The 9001-nt window shown below is 45.7% G+C and overlaps 1 pseudogene; it reads right to left on the minus strand.

Moving 5' to 3' along the window:
* Positions 186-513, minus strand: RN7SKP64 (RN7SK pseudogene 64; annotated as a pseudogene).

A 9001-nucleotide genomic window follows, 5' to 3' on the forward strand; every position in this document is an offset into this window, starting at 1 on the left:
GTGGCGGGGCCCTGTAGTCCCAGCTACTTGGGAGGCTGAGGCAGGAGAATGGTGTGAACCCAGGAGGTGAAGCTTGCGGTGAGCCGAGATGGTGCCACTGCCCTCCAGCCTGGGTGACAGAGCGAGACACTCTCAAAAACAAATTGTTTTCAAATGTTTGCATACATCAAAATTACCTACAGGTTAAAGCATTGCTGGCTCCCTGCCAGGTTTTCTAATTTCCTAAGTTTGGGATGAGTACTGATAATTTGCATTTTTGAGAGATTGGAGGTTTTAATGGAAACCCAGCTACACATATACCCTTAAAGGAAGACCGGTCCTCTATTGGTGATGGTTGTCCTCTTCGACACACTGCACAGCTTCGGGAGGGTCGGGAGGGACACACTTGGAGCATTGAGGGAGTAAGGGGACACCGGTTTAGCCAGCCAGATCAGCCAAATCAATTTTTGTATTTTTAGTAGAGAGGGTTTCACCACGTTGGCCAGGCTGGTCTCTAACTCTTGACCTCAATCTTCCCTCGGCCTCCCACTCGGTTCCCAGGTGAGCCACCGCACCCGGCCTGATTTGCATTTTTAACAAGTTTCCAGGTGATGGAAATGTCAGTGACATCAAGCTTTGAGAACTTTTACCTATAACTGAAGATGTGTTGGTGGTAGGTGTTCGTAACCAGATCCTACCTGGCTTGGTTACTATTGCCTGAGGTACTGATTTTGCTACCCTTTTTAAAGCGTTTAAAATGCAAAATTAGTCACCTTTTTTAAAAAAAAAATCATTTATGGGAGACAACCTCTTTCAGAGCCGTAGATACTGTTATCCTTCATTTTTTTGCCAAACATAAAGTTTTGTAATTTTGTTGGGTATGTGGTAAGAAATTGCAAGGCATGTTAGTGGAATAGAACTACAACAGGAATTTGCCATTTTGCCTGGCCAAGTGGTTTGTATCTTTTTGTTTTTCCTTAATTTTGCACCCCTCAAGCGCTACATAGGAGCTAATGATGATGCTTGATAACAGGTAGTTTGTTGAAATTTAATGTGAATGGAAAAATGGAAATGGTTAATTCTGTCACTGGCAGATCTAACTTGCTGATGGATCTCAGTTAAAGCACTAGTAATTGGGTAATAGCAGTCTGAAACTTGAGTTTTGTCAAAATAACTCCCTATGGAGGTTAGTTGAAAAAATTCTTGATGAGAACAGTCAAGAAGTAACATGATTAATTTTGAAGAGAATCAATTATATTTTTTATTTTTTTGAGACATGGTTTTGCTGTTGTTGCCCAGGCTGGAATGCAATGGTGTGGTCTCGGCTCACTACAACCTCTGTTTCCTGGGTTCAGGCTATTCTCAGCCTCCTGAGTAGCTGGGATTACAGGTAGAGACAGGGCTTCACTATGTTGGCCAGGCTAGTCTTGAACTCCTGACCTCAGGCGATCGTGGCCTCAGCCTCCCAAAGTGCTGGGATTACAGATGTGAGCCACTGTGCCCACCACAATTATGTTAATTTTAAAGGATTTGTCCTTAAAAGTTTTTGGTCGTGTCCTGCCTTTGAAGTTTTCTTGTTTTTTGTTGTTGAGACAGGGTCTCACTCTGTCATCCAGGTTGGAGTGCTGTGGTGTGATCATGGCTCACTGCAACCTCCACCTCCCCAGGCTCAGGTGATTCCCACATCTCAGTCTCCACAGTAGCTGGGGCTACAAGTGCATGCCACCACACCCAGCTAATTTTTGTATTTTTTGTAGAGGGGTTTTGCCATATTGCCCAGGCTAGTCTCTCAAACTCCTGGACTCAAGTAATCCACCCACCTGGGTTTCCCAAAGTGTTGGGATAACAGGTGTGAGCCACCACTCCTGGCCTCTGAATTGTTAATTCTAGCCTTAGTTGTAATTTCACACCCAGCACAGTGGCTCAGGCCTGTAATCCCAGCACTTTTGGGAGGCTGAGGCGGGCGGATCACACAGGTCAGGAGTTTGAGACCAGCCTGGCCAACATGGTGAAACCCCGTCTTTACTAAAAATACAAAAATTAGTCGGGCATGGTGGTAGGGGACTGTAATCCCAGCTACTTAGGAGACTGAGGCAGGAGAATCGCTTGAACCCCGGAGGCAGAGGTTGTAGTGAGCGGAGATAGCGCCACTGCACTCCTTCCTCGGCGACAGACTGAGACTCCAGCTCAAAAAAAAAAAAAGTTATTTCCATACAATTTTAAGAACTCTAAAGTCAAATATATAATTGGGGATATGAAAATTGGTGAAAAGACTAAACGCTTTTAAGGAAGGGGGTAGTCTATTGAGTGTAGTACACAAAAGTCAATAAACATCTCACTTCAGCAGGATTTGTATACTTGGGTTGGAAGTACCTGGTATTCGGTACAGGATTAATGACCTTTCTTTGAACAATGATATGCTTCATACATGGTAATATTTATGAGGAGTTTTTTTTTTTTTTTTTTTTTTTGAGACAGAGTCTCGCTCTGTTGCCCAGGCTGGAGTGCAGTGGCGCGATCTCGGCTCACTGCAAGCTCCGCCTCCCGGGTTCACGCTATTCTCCTGCCTCAGCCTCCTGAGTAGCTGGGACTTACAGGGGCCCACCACCTCGTCTGGCTAATTTTTTGTATTTTTAGTAGAGACAGGATTTCACCGTGTTAGCCAGGATGGTCTCGATCTCCTGACTTCGTGATCCACCCCCCTCAGCCTCCCAAAGTGCTGGGATTACAGGTGTGAGCCACTGCGCCCAGCCTATGAGGAGTTTCTTCTAAGGACCTGATCCAAAAGGGTATACACAAAGAGCAGCAGGAGTCCTGTCTTTGATTAGGACAAAATGCTTTTCAAGTTTCACTCCTTGCCCCTGCCTATCAAAAACAGGACCAATTTCAGTTGGCTCAACTTTGACAGGGTTGTTAAATCAGAAGTAGCGGCTTCTCATTGGCCATTTGGCTTTTGAGATTTAAATGGAAGAGTTTGTTTTCGTACATAATAGGAAAATTCGAAACATCACAGAGCAATTAGATCCCAGCTACTTTCGTAACTACCAACTCTACTTATATTGACTTCCTGCCTTTTTTTTTTTTTTTCTTTGAGATGGGGTCTGGCAATGAATGACACAATCATAGTTCACTGCAGCCTCGAACTCCTGGACTCAAGTGATTCACCTACCTCCACCTCTCAAGTAGCTAGGGCTACAGCCATGCACTGCCATGCCCAGCTAATTTTTGTAGGGGGTGTGTGTGTGTCTGTGTGTAGAAGATGCGGTCTTGCTATGTTGCTCAGGCTGGTCTCAAATCCATGGGCTCAAGAGATGCCCCTACCTTGGCCTCCCAATGCGCTGGGATTATAGGCATAAGTCATCATGCCTGGCACTTTTTACTTTTTTTCCTACACTTGCATAAACCCTAGTTTGTTGGTGGTGGTTTTGTTTTTAGTTTGTTTTTGAGAGGGGTTCTCGCTCTGACACCCAGGCTGGGGTGCAATGCCGTGATAGCCCACTGCAACCTCCGCCTCCCAGTTTTGAGTGACTCTCCTGCCTCAGCCTCCCCAGTAGCTGTGACTACAGGTGTGCAACCACACCTGGCTAATTTTTATTTTTGTACTTTTAGAAGAGACAGGGGTCTCATCATGTTGGCCAGGCTGGTCTCAAACTGACAAGTGATTCGCCCACCTCGGCCTCCCAAAGTGCTAGGATTACAGGCGCGAGCCAGTGTACCTGGCCCACCCCCACCTTTTTTTTTAGAGACAGCGTCACCGCCTTACCAGGTTGGGGTGCAGTGGCACACTAGTAGCTCATGGCAGCCTTGAACTCCTGGGCTCAAGCAAGCCTCCTGCCTCAGCCTACGAGTAACTGGGACTTATAAGAATGTGCCACCACACTTAGCTATTTTTTTACATTCTTTCTGAACACAGAGTTTTGGTAAGTTTCCCAGGCTGGTTTTGAACTCCTGGCCTCAAGCATTCCTTCTGCCTCGGCCTCCCAAAGTGCTGGGATTATAGGTGTGAGCCACAGAACCCAGCCTATGCCCTATTTGAATAGGGAAACCTGCTTTATGGTGTGATAGCCTGTGGAAAGGGACTGCAGTTTAAGTGATGATTGGTGTGAAGGATAGTGAGACTTTCATGATAACTCCTAGTTCATTTTCCTGATTTTGGCTGCTTCTGCTGAAACTCCAAGTGTATCTCTGGCCCATGTTATTTTAAAAGGCAAGCTTCTAGAGAGGTGAACATGGGGAGAACATGGAAACAACAACAAAAAAAGCTGAGCTGCTCCTGGCTAACATGGTGAAACCCCGTCTCTACTAAAAATACAAAAAAATTAGACGGGCGTAAAAAAAAGACTCCGTCTCAAAAAAAAAAAAAAAAAGGCTGAGCTGCACAAAGTCAGCAGGGAACGGTTTTCCCAGCTGGAAAAGAGGAATTGCTTCTGCCTTTCCAGTTATTCAGCACGTCTGTAGGCACACATGATGATTCTGCAAAAACGTTTACCTATTCTACACCTACACATTTTCCAAATCCTGCTCATGCTGCATATTCAAACTACACAAGTTTGGCTCTTTTTTTTTTTTTTTTTTTTTTTTTTTTGAGACGGAGTCTTTCTCTGTCGCCCAGGTTGGAGTGCAGTGGCGCGATCTCGGCTCACTGCAAGCTCCGCCTCCCGGGTTCACGCCATTCTCCTGCCTCAGCCTCCCGAGTATCTGGGACTACAGGCGCCCGCCACCACGCCCGGCTAATTTTTTGTATTTTTAGTAGAAACTGGGTTTCACTGTATTAGCCAGGATGGTCTCGATCTTCTGACCTCGTGATCCACCCACCTCGGCCTCCCAAAGTGCTGGGATTACAGGCATGAGCCACCGCGCCCACCCGAAGAATATTTTACTTTTTTTTTTTTTTTTGAGACGGAGTCTTGCTCTGTCACCCAGGCTGGAGTGCAGTGGCGAGATCTCAGCTCACTGCAACCTCTGCCTCCTAGATTCAAGCGATTCTCCTGCCTCAGCCTCCTGAGTAGCTAAGGTAACAGGTGCATGCCACCACACCTGGCTAATTTTTTGTATTTTTAGTAGAAACTGGGTTTCACTGTATTAGCCAGGATGGTCTCAATCTCTTGACCTCGTGATCCACCTGCCTCGGCCTCCCAAAGTGCTGAGATTACAAGCGTGAGCCACCGCGCCTGGCCAAGTTTGGCTCTTTAAGGCCAGGTGAGTTTTAAACTTCACTAAACAACTTTTTTAGGAAAACCCACCACTTACTGTCTGTGTATCCTTAGTGCCTAGATCAGTGCAGGCATAAGTAGGCATTTTAAAAGTTGAATAATACTTGATCCCCTCACCTTCTCATTCAGAGCAGGGACCTTTGCTTACCCTGCAGTGTTAGGCCCTTACTCAACCCTACATACCTACGCTAGCTAGCTACATTCTCTGCCTACCTTGATACAAAGGAGCATAGGAACCATTACTGAAGCACTATAGGAACCTATGTAAGAGTTCATTTTGGGGGGGTGTGTTTTCTTGTTTATAAATGCAATATGCAATTCAAGCTTTCCTAGAGAATTTAGACAATATTTTTAAAATTCAGAAAATATTGACTCCTTTGAAATCTGACCACCAGGAAGGCCGGGCACGGTGGCTCACGCATGTAATCCCAGCACCTTGGGGGGCCGAGGCAGGCGGATCACGAGGTCAGGAGTTCAAGCCTTGCCAACATGGTGAAACCCCGTCTCTACTAAAAATACAAAAATTAGCTGGGCATGGTGGTGCGCGCCTGCAGTCTCAGCTACTTGGGAGGCTGAGGCAGGAGAATCACTTGAACTGGGACCTGGGAAGCAGAGATTGCAGTGAGCCGAGATCGTGCCACTGCACTCCAGCCTGGCCTACAGAGCGAGACTCCATCTCAAAAAAAAAAAAAAAAAAAAAAAAAAAAAAAGAAATCTGACCACCCAGAAATACTGCTATTAACATTTTGATGACCATTCTATCAGATACTTGGCATTTATACCTACTCGTGCCTGTTTACATATAAAATTTTGAAAGATTTTACAAACATGCTGTTTTGCAACCTGCTCTTTTAAAAAGCATTGATATATTCTATATCAATGAATATACATATTTTAAATAACTATTTTAATGCATCATTATTCATTTAACCAATTTCCTGTTGATAGGCATTTTGATCTTTTGGGTTTTATAACCAGGCTATAAATATTCTTACATGTCTCTCTTTACATCTGTCCATTTGGGTAGATTCCTATATTTGGAATGTTTGGGTAAGAAGGTACATACTTTTTACATTATTGATGAGAAATGAGGGGTCTGTAGGAAGGTGGTAATTTACAGTGGGGGCCTACTCATAGCCATCCTGGGCCTTCTGATTTCTACTTCAACCTCCATCTTAAGATGGTTACTATGTGAACCAGATAGGTAAATTTTTGCAGTGTTTTAAAACTGGATCTCTCTGTTGGTCCCATTGCAGTGTCTCTCCTTACCATTAGCAAACTTGTTAGCCTTCATTATTTTGTTTTCCATGTATAGATCATCACCATCACTATCCAAGTATAATATTGCTACATTGAAGTTTATTTTGCATGTGAGCAGAGTGTCCTTATGTCTAGAGAATGCCAAGGAAATACTGGGCCCCTGACGCTTAGCCACTGTGGTGAACTCTCAGTGCGATCTGGAAATTGAGATCTTAACCCCTTTGTGTGGGAAAAACAGCATTGGCCTTTGAGTGTTTCACATGATTTATCAAATATTTTTTATTACCATTATAACCAGTTAAGTGGCTTGTGTTACTAAATAACAAATTCAATTATCTCATGTTTACCTTTTTGTTTATTTGTTTGTTTTAAGACAGAGTCTCACTCTGTCACCCAGGCTGGAATGCAATGGCATGCTCTGGGCTCACCGCAACCTCCTCCTCCCGGGTTCAAGCGATTCTCCTGCCTCAGCCTCGCGGGTAGCTGAGACTACAGGCATGTGCCACCACATCCGGCTAATTTTTGTATTTTTATTAGAGATAGGGTTTCACCATGTTGGCCAGGCTGGTCTCAAACTCCTGACCTCATGATCTGCCCGCCTCAGCCTCCCAAAGTGCTGGGATTACAGGTGTGAGCCACCGCACCTGGCCTCATGCTTACCTTTTAAGAGAGTCTGGGTTAGGCCAGGCCCTGTGGCTCACGGCTGTAATCCCAGCACCTTGGGAAGCTGAAGCGGGCAGATCATTTGAGCCCAGGAGTTCAAGACCAGCCTGGGCAATATGGCAAAACCTCATTTCTACAAAAAATTCAAAAATTAGCCAGGCATGGTGGTACACACCTGTGGTCTCAGCTACTTTGCAAGCTGAGGTTTGAGGATTGCTTGAGCCAGGGAGGTTGCGGCTGTAGTGAACCGTGATCATGCCACTGCACTCCAGCCTGGGTGATGGAAGACTGTGTCTTAAAAAGAGAGTCTGAGTCATCTCAGACTATATAAATACCTATTTTGTTATGTTCAGACTTCCTTCAGCCTCAGATTGATAGCTTATCTTCACAGTTTAGAATATAGATCTGTAAGTGCTGCCAAGGTGGTTGACCCAGGAGCTAGGGCAGAACCATCTGCATTCATTTCTTTGGGGCTTTGGACTGGCCCAGAAGAGTATTCAGTGAATGAAATAGCTCTGAAGAGGAACAACCCGGTTTCTAAATTCAAGCCTTCCCATGGAGGGAATTTTTTGTCTTAGTAAATACTACAAGCATATAGTTTTTAAAAGATTCAAATTTTTCAGGAGAAAAGGATAGTTATTTGCACCCATTTCCTAGTCGGTCATTTGCCCTCTCCAAAGGGAAGAAATTAGTTTGTGTCCCTTTTTCAAAGATAGTATCTACACATTTGAACATCCAGATTTGTAAAACACATACTCTCGGCCGGGTGCGGTGGCTCACACCTGTAATCCTAGCACTTTGAGAGGCGGAGGCGGGTGGATCACGAGGTCAGGAGATCGAGACCATCCTGGCCAACACGGTGAAACCCCTATCTCTACTAAAAGTACAAAAATTGGCCGGGTGTGCTGGCGTGCGCCTGTAGTCCCAGCTACTTGGGAGGCTGTGGCAGGAGAATCTCTTGAACCCGGGAGGCGGAGGTTGCAGTGAGCCGAGATGGCGCCACTGCACTCCAGCCTGGGCAAGAGAGCCAGACTCCGCCTCAAAAAAACAAAACAAAACAAAAAAACAAAAACATACTCTCTTCTTTACATTGCTTAGTGTCACTAGAAATATATCTTGGGGCTTGTCAACGATGACAGGAAGGAAGCATGGGTAAGAATAACTATGGGGCCAGTGCACCCAGGATCACGGACTACAAAATTCTTGAACCCGGAGGTCACACTTTTCTATCCTGTGTGGACAGGGCATTTCCTCCTTTAGCCACAAAGAAGTTGCACATGTATTTGTATTTTGCGTTTGCATCCAGCTTCAAAAAGTGTGTTTTTGTGCCTGCACATGTCTGAGTGCGGATGTTTGCATATCATTTAGTACGCCTCTGTGATTTCCCTTAGTTTATTATTTTTCTGTGTCAGGATCTTGACGTGACTCGGTGCATGTCGCTGTTTGTGTGACATTGTGTATCATTCTTGGGGTGTGTATGGGTATGTGTGTGCTATGTCATTACCTAAATATTACGTTTTTGGGGGGGTGTGTGATGTCTGTGAAAGTCCACGCCTGTGTATCTTGTCAGGGTGCTCTTCAGTCCCCAGCTGCCTCACTCATTGCATATCATCATTCTCGGAAGATGGGCGGGTGTGGGAACAGTGGTACGCCCCCATTCCTGCCTTCCAGAGAGAACGTGCGACAGCGTTCCTGCTACACCCGGCAGCCGGCCGTAGGGGCGCGCTGGAAAGGCTGCTGCGCGTGCACACGTGTGCAGCCTTGGAGACAGACTTCGGGGTCGCGCGTTCTCGCGCGCGCTCTCTAGTGGCTTCGGAGGGCAGAGCTGACAGAACAAGAGGGCGGGGTTGGCGGCGACGGAAGTGAAGTCACTTCCGGGCTGGGGT

This window comes from Homo sapiens, chromosome 5, assembly GCF_000001405.40.
Source record: "Homo sapiens chromosome 5, GRCh38.p14 Primary Assembly".
Lineage (NCBI taxonomy): Eukaryota > Metazoa > Chordata > Mammalia > Primates > Hominidae > Homo > Homo sapiens.